The sequence below is a fragment of the Homo sapiens genome, chromosome 11, assembly GCF_000001405.40.
Source record: "Homo sapiens chromosome 11, GRCh38.p14 Primary Assembly".
In the NCBI taxonomy this organism is placed as follows: Eukaryota; Metazoa; Chordata; class Mammalia; order Primates; family Hominidae; genus Homo; species Homo sapiens.
The window spans coordinates 68868360-68889464 of NC_000011.10; the positions used below are offsets into that span (position 1 = coordinate 68868360).

At 46.9% G+C, this 21105-nt stretch overlaps 1 long non-coding RNA gene across 1 annotated transcript; it reads left to right on the forward strand.

Moving 5' to 3' along the window:
* On the forward strand, nt 1-6189 carry LINC02701 (long intergenic non-protein coding RNA 2701). Its single transcript, XR_950253.3, has 2 exons — nt 1-2556; nt 3184-6189. It is a non-coding gene; the product is annotated as a long intergenic non-protein coding RNA 2701 (long non-coding RNA).
* Nucleotides 6190-21105: the final 14916 nt, after the last annotated feature.

Here is a 21105-nt window from a genome sequence, read left to right on the forward strand (position 1 = left end):
GGGGTGACTGGAGTGGCTTGTCAATTTGGATGAAACTCACACCCCGCCGACACAGGATGCAAGAGTGGCTCGCCAAGTCGGCTAGGGAACTGGAGGTGGCAAGAGTGGCTCGCCACCCCAACTGGGAACTAGAGGGGGCGAGAGTGGCTTGCCACCCCAGTTACAAACATGGGAACTGAAGGTGTGTGGAAGTGTGTGAATGAAAAGGCCTCATTAGGCGCATCAGCTGCGAAGTGAAGAGTCACAGATCCCTTAGTGTAGACTGTGTGCTCCGAGAAAGGGTGGGGCCGACTAAGACTAGTGGTGATCTGCATATGGCTAATAGGAGCTGCCCTACAGCTCAGAGTTGCAGCAGGAATAAGGACCTCTCCAAAGCCAAGCAGCATCTGAAAACCCCCATAATAGGAGACAGTGTGGTTGGTCGAAACGAGAGGAAGAGTGAGTAGGCAAGAGTGAATGTGCTGCGTTGTAAAGGGAGGAATGGGAGGAAAGTCATCAAAACATCAAAACTTACTCTGTGGGAGTGCATGTTACGGAACCTTAAGAAAGGTTTTGCAGGGGATTATAGAGTTAACCCCCTCAGAGGTTGAGAACTCTGGGTGAATTAGAATTGCCCTCTTCTGGTGTTGGATGGCTGACCGAAGGAACTACAGACAGGGAACAATTGGCCATGTATTTAAGGTGGTGACAAGGGTTGGAGAACAGCCAGTGTACCTGGATCAATTTCTTTATATTGACTCATAGTTAAATATAATATAGCCAAACCCAGCATTGATCCAGGCCTGTTTAACAGCTTATTGCAAAAAAAACCAAAAGTGAAAATAAGAGCAGCTTTGCCGGCAGACACAGAGTTAAAAGGGAATCCCAGAGACAGCAAGAGAAGCCAGTTTTACAGGAGCCACCAAAGGTAACAGAAATTCTTCCTCCATATATCCCAGCCTACCCCCGCTTTACCGAGGCCGACAGCCCCCCCAGGAACCAGATTCAGGAGCTAACATGCCCCAGGTCTCACCTCGAAGGGGAGGATCAGAGCCTTGAGAGGCCAGGAAGGAGGTCAAGATAGTCAAGTGGGCCATCTCAGATCTGGCCGTGCTGGAGCTATGCAAATGCCTCTCAGGGGGACACGAGGACCTATCTATTATGATGACCAGGATCCCAACTAGGACCCAGAGGATGAAACTCAGCTTCAGCGTTTGCAGAGGTACCAAGAGGCACTTCTGCAGGGGCTACGAGTTGGTAGAAGGAAAGCAATGAATATAAAGAAGATTTCAGAAGTGCTTCAAGGAGCTGATGAGAGCCTAAGTCAGTTTTATAAGAGACTCTGTGAAGCATTCCGGCTTTGTACCCCATTTAACTGTGAGGCTGCTGAACATCAGCCTATGGGGAATACTTCATTCGTAGGGCAAGCCCAGGGTGACATCAAGTGGAAGCTGCAGGCATGAATACCACCCAGTCCATAAAAGTGGCCACCACGGTGTATGTTAACTGTGACCAAGGAACAAAACGGGAAAGAGCAAAAGCCACAAGCGCGGCAGCTAAGCACGCCCACCATTAAGTTCCTCTCCCCAGCCCGGCTCTATCTGGAAAAAGAAGGGGCCAGGGACTTGGCGCCAGGAGAAGAGCAAAGGAAAAGGAAAGGAGAAAGTAACAGTAAGTGTGAGAAGGGAAAGAAGAAAGTAAAAAGGAAATCAGAAAAAAACAGGAGAGACAGGCGGCAGTGCACGGGGGCGGGGCCCGTGCCGTTGTCCGGCCCCACCGGCTGGCCGCAAGAGCAGAACTCAGGAAAGAAAAAGGAAAGTAAATTGAAGGCTTAAGAAAAAGGCCAATCTGTTGTCAACAGCTCTTATGGAAAGGGAGATTAGCAATGTGAGAGGACGTGGATGCGGACGTAGACGTGGAAAAAAGTCAAGTTAGGAATGGATTCAAGAGCCAGACAAGGTGGGCGCCTGTGATCCCAGCTACTCGGGAGGCTGAGGCAGGGGAATGGCGTGAACCCGGGAGGCGGAGTTTGCAGTGAGCCGAGATCGCGCCACTGCACTCCAGCCTGGGAGACACAGCGAGACTCCGTCTCAAAAAAAAAAAAAAGAAAAGAAAAAGAAAAAGAAAGAGATTAATGTGCGCGATGCAAAAAGAAAGGACACTGGAAGGATGAGTGTTCAGAAGGCAATGAGGGAAATAGCCAAGACCACGAGACAAAGAGGCCATCGGCCAAGGGCTGCCGCACCTTGGGGAACCAAATACTGATCTGATCAGGCTGGCAGGAGCCGAAGGACGTAAGGAACAGGACAGACCGGGAACCTTCTCATTAGGCACCCAGGGGCCCATGGTCACATTAGAAGTTAAAGGCAGCAGGATTCTGCTGTATCTGGATTCCAATTTCTCACTGATGGCTAAGCCACTAGATGGAGTTACAAAAGGGGAAGAAAAAGAACCCCTCCTCTGGGAAACAGCAGGAGAAGGAGCCCTGCCTGGTGAAAACTTGCTTATAGACTTCACAGAACCTCCCCGTGCCGGAGGTTATTGGTTCATGCTAGTGCTTGTTTGCACCTTTTCAGGGTAAGTTAAAGCTTTCCCCACCAGGACAGAAAAAGTACAAGAAGTGACTAAAGTACTGTTAAAAGACATTATTCCCAGGTTTAGACTGCCTCTAACTTTAAAGTCAGACAATAGGCCAGCATTTGTAGCTGAAATAGTGCGAGATTTAACAAGACTGTTAAAAATAAAATGGAAGTTACACACGGCCTACTGGCTGCAAAGTTCAGGAGAAGGTGGAAGGCGTGAACCGGACACTCGAGCAGCTACTGAAGAAATATTGCCAGGAAATTCATTTAAGATAGAATCAGGTTTTTGGCTATGGTCCTCCTCTGAGTCAGGTGCACCCCCACCAAACAAACTGGGTATTTGCCCTATAAGATTTTTTTTGGTCGGCCACTCCTACATCATAGGTCAAATTAAAGGTGACCTCCAGGAACTAGGGGAATTAACTTTAAGAAAGCAAATGCAGGTTTTTGAAACAGCCAAAGTGTTCATAATTAGGTACATGAAAATGCCTATAAGCCCGACACCCTTTTAAATCTAGTGACGCTGTTTAGGTTAGAAAGTAAAACCTAATTTCTCTAGGATCCATATAGGATGGGTCCTATATCGTAATCTTGTCCATTCCCACTGCTGTTTAACTTGCAGGTGTTATGTCTTGGATCCACCACAGTCGGCTAACACTGGCAGCTCAGGACAAGTGAACCAGCCAGCAGGACCCAGATCATCCAACCTGGCTGATCCTTAGATGAGACCGAGTTGCTGCTGAGGACAACAGCCCTGCTCTAGTCACTCTGGAGGCTGACTAGTCTACGCACGGCTGAAACTTGAGGACTTGTCAAGCAAGTAATGTAGCTAAAATCTTAAGACTAGTGGTTTTCGTGTACACTAACTGTTTTACTATTGTTCTGTCGCTGTGCTCAACCTTTTTCCCAGGTAAGGACCTTTTTTGTCCTTGCTGGATATGAATATGCTGTACATTGTTTTGTTGTTACCCCCCTTAACCATGTAGAAGAAACACCTACAGAAGGTGTCCCCACTGTACACATACTACTTGGTCAGGGAACAGTATAACTAGAACCCTATTGCACTATACTTATTATGAGTGTACAGGGACTCGCTTAGGAACTTGTACTTATAATCAAACCACCTATTCAACCTGTGACCCAGGAAATGGCCAGCCTTATATATGCTATGACCCTAAGTGTTTACCTGGGACTTGGTTTGAGATTCATACCGAGTCAAAGGGAGGAAGTTTTGTAAGTTGAACCCAAGCCTCTCTTCCCGGGGGCGGGGGGTGGGGTGGCTATATCCATATACTTTGATATTTGTCAGTTAACATCCATGAACCAGAGATTGTGAACTATCTCACAATCTCTGGTCCTACAGGGTACTATACAAACTGCCAGTACAAAATTGCATGTGCACCCCGTTTGCCCCTCCGAGGCCCTAGCGATAGCTTGCTGGAACCGCACAACGCAGTTCACTGACCGATCATCACCGAGGCTAAAGCCAATCTTGCTCATCAAAGTGCCAGCAAAACCGGATTGTAAGACAAGCACTTGCAATCCTGTAAATCTTACTATCTTAAAGCCAGATCTACCTATATAGACTGCAGGTTACTCCATGGCATTACAAAGCTACAGTCAAAAAACTAAAATAACTTTGTATATTCTAAAGAGGACTCAAACCAAGCGGTCAGCTCAGCAGCAATTCCGAGTCTTTAAGTCATTCTTTGAGCATATAAACCAAAAGTTACCAGAGCCTCCTCCTTTAGCCAAAAACCTATTTGCTCAGCTGGCTAAAAACATTGCATGCAGCCTAGGCATTTCCTCATGTTATGTTTGTAGAAGGACTAACATGGGAGACTAATAGCCTCAGGAAGCAAAAGAGTTAATGCCTCAAGATAACTTTACTCTGACTCTCTCTTTCCCCAAACAGACACGCACAAGTTCAAGCGTCTAGCTCTTAAAAACTTCTATTATTAGCAGATACTGTGTTGCTCCCTAGGGAAAAGTTTTTACAGACCCAGTAGGAGAACTAACCTGCTTAAGACAGCAATATTATAATGAAACATTAAGGAAAACTTTGTGGCAGGGCAGAGATGACTACAAAGCACCTCATCCAAATCTGTTCTCCTGTTTCTCTTCTCTAAACCACACTTGGTATCAACTTGAAGCTCCAAATACTTGGCAAGCACCCCCCGTCTTTATTGGATCTGTAGGCTACAGGCATATTGACAGTTGCCAGTTAAATGGACAGAGGTGTGCTTAGAACGATTAGACCATCTTTCTTCCTACTCCCACTGCAACAGGGAAAAACTTCAAGGTACCCTGTCTATGATGAAGTTAGAAGAAGAAACAAAAGAGATGCAGACACAAAGAGGTATAAAAATAAGAGATTGAAAAGGCACAAATTAGCCCCCTGAAAAAATAATTCCATACTATAGGCCAGCTACCTGGGCACAAGATAGGTCATAGGGAGACCGCACTCCTATCTACATGCTTAACCGTATCATAAGATTGCAGGCAGAACTTGAAATCATCACCAATGAAACAACAAATGCATTAGATGTACTGGCCCAGCAAACCACAACATTGAGAAACGCTACCTATCAGAACAGATTAGCTTTAGACTACCTCCTAGCCCAGGAAGGAGGAGTATGTGGAAAGTTCAGTCTAACTAATTGTTGCCTGGACATCGATGACAGCGGAAAAGCAATTATAGAAATAACTGCAAGAATGAGAAAATTAGCCAGTGTTCCAGTTCAAACTTAGAAAAGGTGATCCCCAGATTCTCTCTTTGGAGACTGGTTTTCATTTTTTGGAGAGTTCAAGACTTTAATAGGAGTAGTGCTGGCCACACTGGGAAGCTGCATAATACTCCATTGTCTCTTACCTTTCCTTGTTAGAAGTATTCAATCAACTATAGAGGCAATAGTAGCCAGGCAAACTACAACTCAGCTAATAGCTCTGTGTAAATATCAACCTTTGTCTAAAGAAGAAAACTTGTCTCTTCAGGCAGAACTAAGTAATAGTGATGCCTTTTATTAAACTTATTTCATAAAAGGCATCAAAGGGGAGAAACTGAGGCAGAAATTTAAATAATAATAATAATAAATACTGCATTTCTTCACTCCAAGAAAAGTAAAAGCTAAGGCCCAGAATATGGCAAGGCAAAGGCTAAAAAGAAAAGAACAAGTTTTCCTCTTGCCTAGCAGCTCACTTTAAGGAAAGTTAGAAGATAACGCTGTCCAAATAGCCAAGGCCAAAGGAATGGGCTCCAGACACCCCCCTCCCTTCCAGAGCAAGCTTGAAAGAAAAAAAAGAAAGACAGGTTCTTTTACTGTTACTCTTTTCCCAGGCTTCTTAAGCATGATTAGCATGATTATGTTTTACAAATGTCTGTATTTAGCCAGTTCTTATTTTTCTTTTAATGCAGCTACAAGGCCACTGGCTAGGTCACAAATTATGTTATGCTATAGATTACGTGACCTGTTACTGTATGATTAACTGCTTTTATTTTGCTACTGTTTTTATTTTGCTTCTGTAAGACCGCTTATAAAAACCCTGCTCTTTGTTCAGGGCTCAGCTTTCGGATGTGAATCCTCTGAGCCGGTGCGTACCTAAAATAAACAAATCCTCCTGTACTCTGTATTGGTTCCTCTGTTCCTCAGTTTATCGCAACAGTCATACATTGATTGAAGCTACCCCATGACTGAAGGACATAAAATCATCTTGAAACCTGAAATACCTACAAATATCTTGGGTGCCATCAGAGAAACCCCCTAGTGGGGATGGCAGTGCCAAGAAGAGTTTCCTAACAACATGGAAATGGTTTGTACAGGATGGTGCCACCTGGGGAAGGAAACCTACTCATCAGCAGGGTTCAGTTCAGCCCATCCCTGCACTGCGGCAGTTCCCCCCACACCCATTCATTTCGCGGTCCCAAGTGGTGGCCACGTTAAGCCAGTACGCACAAGTTCTTCTGATGGGCATCGATGTGTCCTACTTGAAGGAACCCCCACATTTCCACAGGGCCGCGCCCCACGTGGCCACCCCTTCAATAAGCCAGGTTTCTACCACCCTCCTGCCTGACCATGCGGCCGCTGCCCAGGAGCCAGTAAAAACCTAAACACAGGGGCTCCCACCACTGTTCAATTTTATTTTGTTTTGTTATGTTATGTTATGTTATGTTATGTTATGTTATTTATTTTATTTTTGAGATGGAGTTTTGCTCTGTCACCCAGGGAGTGGGGTGGAGTGGTGAAATCTCGGCTCACTGCAACCTCTGCCTCCCAGGTTCAAGCAATTCTCCTGCCTCAGCCTCCCGAGTAGCTGGGATTACAGGCACCTGCCACCACGCCTGCCTAATTTTTGTATTTTTTAGTAGAGATGGGGTTTCGCCGTGTTGCCCAGGCTGCTGTCAAGCTCCTGACCTCCAGTGATCTGCCCACTTTGGCCTCCCAAAGTGCTGGGATTACAGGCGTGAGCCACTGGGCCCGGCCTACCTTTCAATTCTTCCACCACTGCCAGGAAAACAGTGTGCAGTTCAGCCCACCAAGCTGATTTGTTTCCACCCTTCTTTGATCACAGTGGCATCCCTCCAGACCGGATGTTTCCTATTCACCACTAACCAGGCAGCTCTTTCCTGGCCAGTTGACAGCTGTGTATGGGGCATTCCCCAAGCGATGATAAAATCCGGCAGCTCAAATGAGAATTTATGAACACAAAGAAGCAAACAACAGACCTACTTGAGGGTGGTCTACTTGAGGGTGGAGGGTGGGAGGAGGGAGAGGAGCAGAAAAGATAACTATCGGGTTAATGCGGTTTGGGTGTGTCCCCACCCAAATCTCATCTTGAATTGTAGTTCCCACAATCCCCACGTGTTGTGGAAGGGACCCAGTGGGAGGTAATTGAATCATGGGGCAGGTTGTCCCCATGCTGCTGTTCTCATGATAGTGAGTGAGTTCTCACAAGATCTGATGGTTTTATAAAAAGCTTTTCTCCCTTTTGCTTGGCACTTCTCCTATCTGATGCCATAAGAAGAAGAACATGCTTGCTTCCCCTTCCGCCATGATTGTAAGTTTCCTGAGGCCTCCCCAGCCATGCTGAACTGTGAGTCAATTAAACCTCTTTTTAAAATAAAGTACTCAGTCTCCTGGGACACGGTGGCTCAAGCCTGTAATCCCAGCACTTTAGGAGGCTGAGGCAGGTGGATCACATGAGGTCAGGAGTTCAAGACCAGCCGGTCCAACATGGTGAAACCCCATCTCTACTAAAAATACAAAAAGTAGCCAGATGTGGTGGCACATGCCCATAATCCCAGCTACTCGGGAGGCTGAGGCATGAGACTCACTTGACCCTAGGAGGTAGAGGTTGCAGTGAGCTGAGATCATGTCACTGCACTCCAGCCTGGGTGACAGAGTGAGACTTCATCTCTAAATAAATAAATAAATAACCCAGTCTGGGGTATGTCTTTATTAGCAACGTGAGATACATGGGTACTGGGCTTAATACCTGGGTGATAAAATAATCTGTACAACAGGCCGGATGTGGTGGCTCAAGCCTGTAATCCCAGCACTTTGAGAGGCGGAGGTGGGAGGATCACCTGAGGTCAGGAGTTCAAGACCAGTCTGGCCAACATGACAAGACCCCATCTCTACTAAAAATACAAAAATTAGCTGGGCGCGGTGACAGGTGCCTGTAATTCCAGCTACCTGGGAGGCTGAGGCAGGAGAATCACTTGAACCTAGGAGGCAGAGGTTGCAGTGAACCAAGATCATGCCACTGAACTCTGGCCTGGGGGATAGAACGAGACTCTGTCTCAAAAAAAAAAAAAATCTGTACAACAAACCCCTGCGACATGAGTTTATCTATGTAACAAACCTTCACATGTATCCCTGAACCTAAAATAAAAGTTAAAAAAAACATCCAGCAGCTCCTCACACAGTTCCAGAGTCAGTCCCAGGGGATTCTCCCTGCTTGTGAGTCTCCTCCTTGCCTTCCCCAGCAAGGAGTCCCCATCCTTGCCTTCATATAGGATGGTTCACCATCCTATATGAACCATTTTCGTGTTGTTACGGAACTTTTCTTGGCGCTGTCATCTCCATTAGAGGGTTTCTGTGATGTCACCCAAGGTATTGTAGGTATTTCAGGTTTCAAGATTATTTTATGTCCTTCAGTCATGAGGTAGCTTCAATTAATGTCTAACAGCAAGTTAGTAAATGCCCCTCCAATGGAAATTTTCTAGTCCAAAGTCCCAGGTAGACTGGGTGTGATGGCTCATGCCTGTAATCCCAGCACTTTGGGAGGCCATAGTGAGAGGATTGCCTGAGTCTAGGAGTTTGAGACCAGCCTGGGCAATATGATTAAACCCTATCTCTACTACAAATACAAAAATTAGCTGGGCATGGTGGTGTGTGCCTGTAGTCCCAGCTACTCAGGAGGCTGAGGCAGGAGAATCGCTAGAACCCGGGAGGCAGAGGTTGCAGTGAGCTGAGATCATGCCACTGCACTCTAGCCTGGGCAACAGAGAGAGACTCTGTCTCAAACAAAACAAAACAAAACAAAACAAAACAAACAAACAAGCACCCTTACACACAGCGTTTTCCATGACCTGGGTAATGGGCATGTCCAGTAGAAACACATTCTGTTCATCACAAAGCCAACATCAAATGGCTTGTGTTCAAATCTGATGAGCTGCTCCGTCTGAGACATTTGACTTGGCATGTAGACGAGGAAAGGAACAGGGACCTTTCTCAGGGTACACAGACCCTACAGTGACTTTTACCCAGTCCAGCAGTCCAGCTGTCCCCTTGGGAGTCACCTCCTGCGTGTCTGAATCAGGGACAGCTCCCCGTGATTGTCCCATGGTGAGCTGCGGGTGCTGTGTCAACCCAAACACACTCTTCCACCCTGCAGCATTTAAAACTGAAGACACTGATCCTAAATCAGCTACTGCCAGAATCCATTTTCCTAAAGGCGCCCCAGGAAGCAGAAAACATGGAGCTACAAAATGAAACCCTTCCGTCACACTCCACGGCCTGGCTTTGGCAGTCGCTTGGTTCTGTCCTCCCTGCTGTGGACCACCTTGTTGGTGACCAGAGTTCTCAGAGGCACTTTCTGTTATTCCTGCGTCATTTTGCCCTTGGGAGTCAGCTCTGAGGCTAGCAGCCTGTCGTCCAAAAGGCCACCAGGATGGCCAGATAGTAGAAAGAGCTGGACTGGTGATTTCAGCTTGCAAATCAGGGAGAGGTCATCTCCGGTGTGGACTGAAGGTTTGCTGTCTTCCAAGAGGGAAAGGGCAGGTGAGGTTGATGACTCACAGGGCCCGTATCACACAGCAGAGTCACACGTATTCAGCAGGTTTGGAGGAAAAGCTATATTTGTTCATAATGGGGGTTGAGTGCACGTGCGATGGGTAAACATGCATGTAACATACATTCCATGTTCACTTTGGGGTGGGGCTCTGGCTTTAAAATGAGGTGGAATGTGGCTCTTTTCATCAAAATGTGAGCTATAAGGCTGGGTGTGGTGGCTCACGCCTGTAATTCCAACACTTTGGAAGGCTGAGGTGGGAGGACTGCTTGAGGCCAGGAGTTCAAGACCGACCTGGGCAACATAACAAAACCCTGTCTCTACAAAAAAAAAATTAAAAAAATTAAAAAGAAAAAGGGCAGGGCTGGGCACGGTGGCTCATGTCTGTAATCCCAACACTTTGGGAGGCCAAGGTGGGCAGATCATTTGAGGTTGGGAGTTTGACACCAGCCTGGCCAACATGGTGAAGCCCCATTTCTACTAAAAATACAAAAATTAGCTGGGTGTGGTGGTGGGCACCTGTAGTCCCAGCTCCTCAGGAGGCTGAGGCAGGAGAATAGCTTGAACCTGGGAGGTGGAGCTTGCAGTGAGCCAAGATCATGCCATGGCCCTCCAGCCTGGCCCACAGAGCCACCATCTCAGAAACAAAATGAAACGAAACAAAACGAAACAAAACAAAACAAAAAAAGAGGGAGGGTACAGTCACATTGTTTTGAGGTCTTGGTTAAACCTACTGAATCCACACGTTGCATGTGAAAAGGAGGCAGAGGAACAGTCCATTATGTATTCTTCTCGAGCTCAATAAAACTACATTTTTATGAGAAAGAAGTCAAATATGCATTGAGGTGGGTGGTGATGGCAGGTATCTTTTCTTTCTTTCCTTCCTTCCTTCCTTCTTTCCTTTCTTTCCTTCCCTTCCCTTCCTCCCCTCCTCCCTCCCTCTCTCTCTCTCTCTTTCTTTCCAATCTCGACTCACCGCAACCTCTGCCTCCCGGGTTCAAGCGATTCTTCTGCCTCAGCCTCCTGAGTAGCTGGGATTACAGGCATGTGCCACCACGCCTGGCTAATTTTGTACTTTTAGTAGAGATGGGGTTTCTCCATGTTAGTCAGGCTGGTTTCGAACTCCAACCTCAGGTGATCTGCCTGCCTCAGCCTCCCAAAGTGCTGGGATTACAGGCGTGAGCCACTGCGCCCGGCCAGTGGGAACCATTTCTAGTCTCCTCTTGTTCCATGCCTGTGAAGATAAGCTGTTAATTGACATTGTCAGGGTGGCCTCTCTTCACGGGTGGCCTCTTATCTTGTTGCTCTGTGTTTAGGAACAAAAGGAAAGGCAGGATTTGTGTCACTTGGCTTCCCAGCTTAGCCCTTCCCTTTGGCATAGCAGGTTTGGGGTCTCCAGATTTTATTTTCCTTTCACAATTCTGACACCAACTGGGGGAAAACACACTGTGTTTTTCTACTTCTGACACCAGATGTGGGTGTTTTTTTCCACACCAAGCAGTTCTCCAAATACCAGCTGGGCAGTCCTGCAATGTAATCCAATGCTGCCTCTGTCGACCTGGTGTTGGCACAGACCCCACAGGTTAAGCGCCCAGTCCCACAGACTGCCTCCAGTTCGGATGTCAATCCCAAGTCCAAGCTCAGGCCTCCAGCACTTCTAACCCATTGCCTGTCAGTTGGGGGTTCTCACGACACTCTCCTAACGGTCCGTTATTTGCTAGAGCAGCTCACAGAACTTGGAAACACTTCACCGATTTATTAGAAAGGACACAAACTCAGGAACAGGCACATGGAAGAGATGCACAGGGCAGGGTGTGCTGGGGTGGGGCTGGGACGGAGCTTCCATCCCCTTTCTGAACATGCCACCTGCCCAGCATCTCCACCTGTTCAGCATCCTGGAAGCTCATCAGATCTAGTTGTTCAAGAGGTTTTTTAGTGCTGAGGGCAGTGGCTCACGCCTGCAATCCCAGCACTTTGGAAGAGGCCAAGGCAGGAAGATCCCTTCAATTCAGGAGTTCCAAACCAGCCTGGACAGCGCAGGGAGACCTCTTCTCTACAAAAAATTTAAAAATTAGTCAGGTGAGGTGGTGGGCCTGGGTGACAAAAATTAAAAAAAAAAAAAAATGAGACAGGGTCTCGCTCTGTTGCCCAGACTGGAGTGCAATGGTGCCGAATTTGCTCATTGCAACCTCTGCCTCCCGGGTTCAAGCGATTCTCCTGCCTCAGCCTCCTGAGTAGCTGGGATTACAGGTGCCTGCCACCACGCCCAGCTAATTTTTTTGTGTTATTACTAGAGATGGGGTTTCACCATGTTGTCCAGGCTGACCTCAGGTGACCCACCCGCCTCGGCCTCCAAAGTGCTGGGGTTACAGGCTTGAGCCACCGTACTCGGCCAAAAAAAAGTTTTCAAAGAGGTTAATCTCTAGTCACCACGTCCCTCCTTCCTGGAGGTTAGCAGGAGGTGTTGAAAGTTCCAGCCCTGGAGTCCTTTGGTCTTTCTGGTGACTGCAAACCCTCCCCAATCTGAGGTTATTTGGGGGCCCTACCCTAATTTATCTCATTAGCATAAACTCAGCTGTGATCAAAAGGGCACGTATGAATCACAAAAGACAATCCCATGACTCTGGAAATTCCAAGGGTTTTAGGTGTTCTATGCCCAGAACAGGGGACAAAGACCCAGTATATTTCACAGTATTCCACGGTTGTCTGATGTGAGCCGGTTTTATTTTTGTGAGCAAGTGATAAAATCTTAGAGTAAAGCCCCCAAGGGCTAGGGCTTATTTGTTATGGTTGCAGAATGTACCCTGTGCTGACAAACACACCAGGGGATTCTAAAGCGCCGTCAGGGACCTGGTGTGGTGGCCCATGCCTGTCATCCCAGCACTTTAGGTGGCCCAGGAGGGAGGACTGCTTGAGGCTAGGAGTTTGAGACAAGCCTGGGCAACATAGTAAGGACCCATCTCTACAAAAAAAATACAAAAATTAGCTGGGCCTGGTGGCACACACCTGTGGTCCCAGCTACTCGGGAGGCTGAGGTGAGAGGGTCACTTGAGCCCAGGAGTTGGAGGTTAACGGTGAGCTATGATTGTGCCACTGCACTCCAGCCTGGGTGACAGAGCAAGACCCCATCTCTAAAATAAAATAAATAAAAATAAAGTGCAGCCAGGGGTGAGACTCACCAGAACCTCTGTGCCGTTCAGTTTCTTCATGTGTAAGATGTGAAAAGTCCCAGAGCCTCTGTCACAAGGCCCTTCCTAGGAAGGGGGTTAGGTGAATTGCACAGGTTGTGCCTGGTCCAGTGCTCTGCACATAGAAACGCTCAACAAACATCACTGTGAGCTCCTTCAGCAGTCAGGGACCTTCCTACTCCACTGGACCCAGAAGCACTGGGCACCACACTCTCTGTTCCTCTTTTATTTTTTCCTTTCTTCTTTCTTTTTCTTTCTTTCTTTCTTTCTTTTTTTTTTTTTTTTTGGACAGTGTCTCACTCTGTCACCCAGGCTGGAGTGCAGTGGTGCAATCTTGGTTCACTCCATCCCCGAGGCTCAAGGGATCCTCCCTCCTCAGCCTCCCAAGTAGATGGAACTACACGTGTGCACCACCACACCTGGCTAGTTAATTTTTTTTTTTTTAGAGAAGAAGTCTCCCTAAGTTGTTCAGGCTAGTCTCGAACTCCTGAGCTCAAGAGATCCACATGCCTCAGCCTCCTAAAGTGCTGGGATTACAGGTGTAAGCCACCGTGCCTGGCCTGTTTCTCTTTTATTTTTTGAAACAAACAAGTTCTTACTTTGTCTCCCAGGCTGGAGTGCAGTGGGGTGAACACAAGCTCATTGCAGCCTCGACCTCCCTGGCTCAAGCGATCCTCCCTCCTCAGCCTCCCAAGTAGCTGGGACTACAGGCATGTGCCACCATGCCAGGCTAACTTTCATATTTTTTGTAGATATGGGGTTTCTTCATGTTGCCCAGGCTGGTCTTGAACCCCTCAGCTGAAGCAATCCACCCATCTCGGCCTCCTGAAGTGCTGGGATTACAGGTGTGAGCCACTGTGCCCGGCTTTCCATGTTCCTTTGTCTACTCAGGGAAAGGACTGCATCTTCTCACCCTTTGTCCATTTCTTCTTTGTCCTGCTGAGTCATGGCAGCCCTCGTGCCATATGATTTTATTTTACACAACTGTATTCCATCCATCAGTTCCTTTGAGTGTTGGTTCTGGAGGGAGGACCTCTGTGTCTCCTGGTAGCATCACCCGGAAGAAGAAAAGAAGGAAGCAAGATGGCGCCTTTCAGGAACACAAGTCAGCCAGGGTTTCTGCACCATTCCTGGTCTATGCCCCGGGAGCCAGGGCCTCGACTCTGCAGAGCCCAGTCACGGGAAGAGGTGTCCGTGCAGGAAGTGGGTCGGAGAGCACCCAGCCTTCCAGGTGTGCTTCTCTCTCTTTTTTTTTTTTGAGACAGAGTCTCGCTCTTGTTGCTCAGGCTGGAGTGCAATGGTGCGATCTTGGCTCACTGCAACCTGCGCTCCTGAGTTCAAGCGATTCTCCTGCCTCAGCCTCCCGAGCAGCTGGGATTACAGGCGCCCACCACCACACCCAGCTAATTTTTTGTATTTTTAGTAGAGATGGGGTTTCACCACGTTGGCCAGGCTGGTCTCGAACTCCTGACCTCAGGTGATCCACCCACCTTGGCCTCCTAAAGTTCTGGGATTACAGGCATGAGCCCCCGCTCCCAGCCCCAGGTGTGCTTCTCTTATCTCTGTGAGCCACCACAAGCTTGTGGCCTGCCTTGGAAGTGGCTAAGGCCCCAGGAGTCTGAGGCCCCCAGGGTGTGGAGATGCTGGGAGAGAATCACAAGCAGCTGCTGTCCCTCCTGGGCCCCTGATGCAGCCCCTTCCTGGATCTTTTAGATAACACCAAGCCCCCCGCACGCATTGCAGTACAATGACATGCTTGATGCCTCCAGAGCTATGTCTGGCCTGTCTGGGACTTGGTCTCTTCTGCAAAGCTCCTGGGGCATCAGTCTTGCCTGACACTGACCTTCCTGAGTTGGCCCAGGATCCCACCGACATCTGCACCTCACTGAAGAGGCAATACCAGCCCACCTTGGGAACCAACCTCTGGCTCATCAGCTGCGAGGAATTAGGGATTCTGAGAGAGAATTCATTCATTCACAGAGTGCTAACTGCATACCCAGGGTGGTAGTTGATGCTGAGCAAACAGGAGTGAATAAAATGGATAGATGCCCCCTGCCAGAGCTGACAGCCTAGCAGGGCAGGGAGGAAGATGGGAAGCCTGTGAACATATGAATAACATTTGCTGACCCAGGAAGGGACAGACAGCGAGCAGACAGTGACCTGGGGAGGCACCTACTGAGATGGAATGGTCTGGGCCCCATCCAAGCTAGAGAGGAGGATCTATAGCAGCTACACACTTATTTCAGCAGGGCGTGGTGGCTCACGCCTGTAATCCCAGAACTTTGGGAGGCCGAGGTGGGCGGATCACTTGAGGCCAGGAGTTCGAGACCAGTCTGGGCAATATGGTGAAACCCCATCTCTACTAAAACCACAAAAATTAGCTGGGCATGGTGGCGCATGCCTGTAATCCCAGCTACTTGGGAGGCTTAGGTATGAGAATTGCTTGAACCCAGGAGGCAGACATTTCAGTGAGCTGAGATCGCACTCCAGCCTGAGCAACAGAGCGAGATTCTGTCAAAAAAAACCAAAACACTTATTTCATATTCAAAAAAATATTCTAACTTAATTAATTAATTTTATTTATTTTTTTGAGACGGAGTCCTGCTCTGGAGTGCAGTGGCACCATCTCAGCTTACTGCAACTTCCATCTCCCAGGTTTAAGCAATTCTTTTGCCTCAGCCTCCTGAGTAGCTGAGATTACAGGCACACACCAGCATGCCCAGCTTTTTTTTTTTTTTTTTTTGTATTTTTAGTAGAGATGGGGTTTTGCCATGTTGGCCAGGCTGGTCTTGAACTCCTGACCTCAGGTGATCTGCCTGCCTCAGCTTCCCAAAGTGCTGGGATTACAGGCGTGTGCTACCACACCCGGCCTCTAACTTAATTTTATTATTATTATTTTTAGAGACAGGGTCTTGCAGTGTTGCCCCAGCTGGACTCAAAACTCCTGGGCTCAAGTGATCCTGCTGCCGTAGCCTCCTGAGTGGCTGGGACCACAGGACGCATCTTATCCCATGAAGACTTGCTATGCTTTGAATGTCCCTTTGGAAGGGGAAGACTGCCTTCCACCCTCTGAAGATTTGCTGAAAATCAAATGTCAAAAGACAGATTAATAGGAGAAAAGGCATACAAATTTATTATGTGGGTGAGGGAGACTCATGCCATGATTACCATAACCCCGCAATGGGGTATAGGAGATTATACCCCCTCTTTTCCTAGAGGAGGGAGGAGATGGGGAATATGGACGATTCTTCTGAGGGGCAGCAAATGGTTATTAGGGAAAAAGAACGGACCCAGGAGACAGAAATTAACTTGTAAATGATTCTCTCTGGAGTCTGAACGAGCCCAAGAGGCAGGCATGATCTGGGGGAAAAATCTTTTTTTTTTTTTTTCTGAGACAGAGTCTTACTCTGTCCCCCAGGCTGGAGTGCAGTGGCGCGATCTCAGCTCACTGCAACCTCTGCCCTTCGAGTTCAAGTGATTCTCCCGCCTCAGCCTCCCAAGTAGCTGGGATTACAGGCATGCGCCACCGCGCCTGGCTAATTTTTTGTATTTTTAATAGAGATAGGGTTTCACCATGTTGCCCAGGATGGTCTTGAACTCCTGACCCGTGATCCACCAGCCTCGGCCTCCCAAAATGCTGGGATTATAGGCATGAGCCACTGCGCCCGGCCGATCTGGGGGAAAAGACTTTCTAAGTGCGGTTGCATCTTCAGACCTCGTCTGTCACAATGACTTAACAGGGAGGGGGTAGGAGGGGCCCTATTTGGAACGTCCAAAAGTTAGTTTGAGGTCAAAACCAGACTGCATTTAGAATTTGAAATTTGATTTTGGGAAGTTTGTTACGTATAAAAGGTTTGAAACACTTGATATCAAAATAAGAAAGGTTTAAAACACTTGATCAGGCCGGGCGCAGTGGCTCACGCCTGTAATCCCAGCACTTTGGGAGGCTGAGGCGGGCGGATCACAAGGTCAGGAGATGGAGACAATCCTGGCTAACACGGTGAAAGCCCGTCTCTACTAAAAATACAAAAAATTAGCTGGGTGTGGTGGCGGGCGCCTGTAGTCCCAGCTACTCGGGAGGCTGAGGCAGGAGAATGGCGTGAACCCGGGAGGCGGAGCTTGCAGTGAGCCGAGACTGCGCCACTGCACTCCAGCCTGGGTGACAGAGCAAGACTCCGTCTCAAAAAACAAAACAAAACAAAACAAAAAACAAAAAAACACTTGATCAAAATAGGATTACGGGTCATGGTAAAACAATAGTCATTCATTTAGCCAAAATGACAATTAAAAGATGTCAGAAAGCAAAATCTTTACTTTTTGATAGAGAGGAGATTGAGTTTTCTAAACAATCAAAAGACCTAACAAAGACAGCAAGAGGGACATGCTGACCCCCCTGCCTTTTTTTTTGTCGGTTTACTCAAAAGGTGAAGACAAAATTTACTATTTCTTATTAATACCACATGAAAATCTTGTTCAAAAGAAAACAAGTTCTATCCTTGCATCGGTATATTACTGTATGTTAAAGCTGATTTTATTTTATTGCATTTTATTTTATTTTTTTGACACAGAGTTTCACTCTTGTTGCCAAAGTGCTGGGATTACAGGCGTGAGCCACAGCTCCCGGCCTAAAGCTAATTTTAATAACAGCTTAAAAATAGATCTGTCCAGGCCAGGCACGGTGGCTCATGCCTGTAATCCTAGCACTTTGGGAGGCTGAGGCTGGCAGATCACTTGAGGCTGGGAGTTCAAGACCAGCCTGGCCAACATGGCAAAACCCTGTCTCTCCTAAAAATACAAAAAATCAGCTGAACAAGGTGGTGCACACCTGTAGTCCCAGCTACCCGGGAGGCTGAGGCAGGAGAATCACTTGAACCCAGGAGGCAGAAGTTGCAGTGAGCTGAGATTGTGCCACTGCATTCCAGCCTGGGTGACAGAACGAGATTCCGTCTCAAACAAAACAAAACAAAACAAAAATAGATTCATCCAATCTTAATCAGCTTTGACCACACAAGATTTCCACAAACCTTTTATAACCTCTTACAAAAACCTTTTTGAGTCTGTTTCTCCAACTTTCTATATCTATTGTTTTATTTTTCACTTTTTCAATTTAAAACAACCTTTAAATAACCTGTAAACTAGACAAAATTACTTTTCCTTTAACAAAACTGCATTCTCATGTTTTTTTGTAACCCTCCTTACCAAAAACACACCCTATTTTCTCTGTACACTTTGCATACAGAATTTGTTTTTCTTTTATCTGGTTTTTCTTATTGGGTTGTGTGTGTGTTTTTTTAACAGGGTCTTACTCTGCTGCCCAGGCTGGAGTGCAGTGGTATAATCACAGCTCACCTCAGCCTCAACCTCTCAGGCTCAAGCCATCCTCTTGCCTCAGTCTCCCTACTAGCTAGGACTACAGGTATGCACCACTACACCCATCTAATTTTTGTATTTTTTTGTAGAGATGGGATTTTGCCATGTTGCACAGGCTGGTCTTGAACTCCTGGGCTCAAGAAATCCGCCTGCCTCAGCCTCCCAAAGTGCTAGGATCACAGGCATGAGCCACTATGCCCTGCCAGTAGTTTTAATTACATGTATTAACTATAGTTTTAACTCTTAGTAACTCTGATTTCCAGTGAAAAACCTAGGGGGTAAGCAATTTTAATTGTTATGTACCAGGTTCATAGCCCAAGACAGAGACAGAGCTGTGAGGACATGGCTGGAGGGTCCAACCCCTCCCAGCATGGTCAGGAGGCAGAGCTGGGCCAGGGAGGATGGGACGATATTGGGCTTAGCTCTGCTCAGCAGCTGCTGGCCTAGGCACTGAGGACACGCATATGTCACCAGGACTTACCATGGCCACCTGCCTAAAGCCTAGAATCTAAAAGCTCAAAACCAAAGACATGACGTCACAGACAAACAAGTATTAAAAATATCACAGAAGTGGCCACGCATGGTGGCTCACACCTGTAATCCCAGCACTTTGGGAGGCTGAGGTGGGTGGATCACCTGAGATCAGGAGTTTGGGACCAGCCTGACCAATATGGTGAAACCCCATCTCTACTAAAAATACAAAAAAAAAAAAAAAAAAAATTAACTGGCATGGTGGTGCACACCTGTAATCCCAGCTACTTGGGAGGCGGAGACAGGAGAATTGCTTGCACCTGGGAGGCAGAGGTTGCAGTGAGCTGAGATCCTGCCACTGCACTCCAGCCTGGGCGACAGAACAAGACTCTCTCACAAAAAGAAAAAAAAACAAGAAACAAAAATCACAGAAGCAACAGTTTTATGACCTTAAAACATCTAACCAAGATTGTATAAATTACTCTGACCTATAGACCCAGGCAGAAATGTTTGAAATTCTGCAGATATTTTTATCTTATTTTACCAGAAGTTATTAAGTTTATTTCATTTTATTTTTTAGCCTTTTATTTTTCATCTAACTACTTTCTGTGAGTTTTTAAAATTTTAAATAGAGGTAGGGTCTTGTGTTGCCCAGGCTGGTCTCAAACTCCTGGCTTCAAGCGATCCTCCCACTTCGGCCTCCCAAAGTGCTGGGATTACAGGTGTGAACCACCATGCCTGGGCACCAACAGTTTTAAAACTAGTTTCATTTATCAAAGATTACTAAAGTCATGTGAACTTGAAAAGCATTTAGGCTTTTTTTTTTTTTTTTTTTTTTTTTTTTTTGAGACGGAGTTTCGCTCGTCACCCAGGCTGGAGTGTAACAATGGCGTGATCTTGGCTCACTGCAACCCCCGCCTCTCAGGTTCAAGCGATTCTCCTACCTCAGCCTCCCAAGTAGCTGGGATTACAGGCGCATGCCACCACGCCTGGCTAATTTTTTGTATTTAGTAGAGATGGGGTTTCACCATGTTGGTCAGGCTGGTCACGAACTCCTGACCTTGGCTGATCCACATGCCTCGGCCTCCCAAAGTGCTGGGATTACAGGCATGAGCCACCACGCCCAGCCTTTGGCTTATTAATAATGAGGACTTGCTTATTTGTAAGTCAGTTTGGTACCAAGTAGACAGTATACCAACAGACATGTATACACATGTATTAATACAAATACAAACAAACATAAATACAAATCTTATAGCTTTGATTTTTAAATTTTAGCCACAAGATAGGCAAAACTCACTGGTTTAAAAGGACAGTTAGACTAAATTATGCCACTGTAAATGGAACAAGTTATAGCTGAAGCCCTTACAGAGTTTTTGAGAAACCAGGGTAGCAAATTTATATTTCATTCAAAGCACAACGAGAGAAAGTAAGCATTTTAAAAGGAGCTCAGGTGTGTTAGAGGAAGATTAAAAATGAATGCCAAGATAACACAAAATCATAGGATTTCACTACAGGATTTTATAGAGACTATTGCATTTATATAGTTAACTTGTGGCCAGGCACGGTGGCTCATGCCTGTAATTCCAGCACTTTGAGAGGCCAAGGTGGGAGGATTGCTTAAGGCCAGGAGTTTGAGACCAGCCTGGCCAACATGGTGAAAACCCGTCTCTACTAAAAATACAAAAAATTAGCCGGGTGTGGTGGTGCACGCCTGTAATCCCAGCTACTCAGGAGGCTGAGGCACGACAATCACTTGAACCCAGGAGGTGGAGGTTGCAGTGGGTCGAGATCACACCACTGCACTCCAGCCTGGGCAACAAGAGCAAAATTCCATCTTAAAAAAAAAAGACCCTGTTGTCAATTCCTTTGTGTATAGCCCCAGAAGTGGAACTGCTGGATCGTGTGATAATTTGAGGAAACTTGTCTAGTTTTTAAAAGGAGTTAACTTTCACCAGTTTGATATTGATAATATTTTATATATTTATATATATATATATTTATTTATTTATTGAGACAGAGTCTCACTCTGTCTCCCAGGCTGGAGTGCAGTGGCGTTATCTCTGCTCACTGCAGCCTTTGCCTCTGGGGCTCAAGCGATTCTCTTGCCTCAGCCTCCCCAGTAGCTGGGATTTCAGGTGCACGCCACCATACCTGGCTAATTTTTGTATTTTTAGTAGAGACAGGGTTTCACCATGTTGGCCAGGCTGGTCTCAAACTCC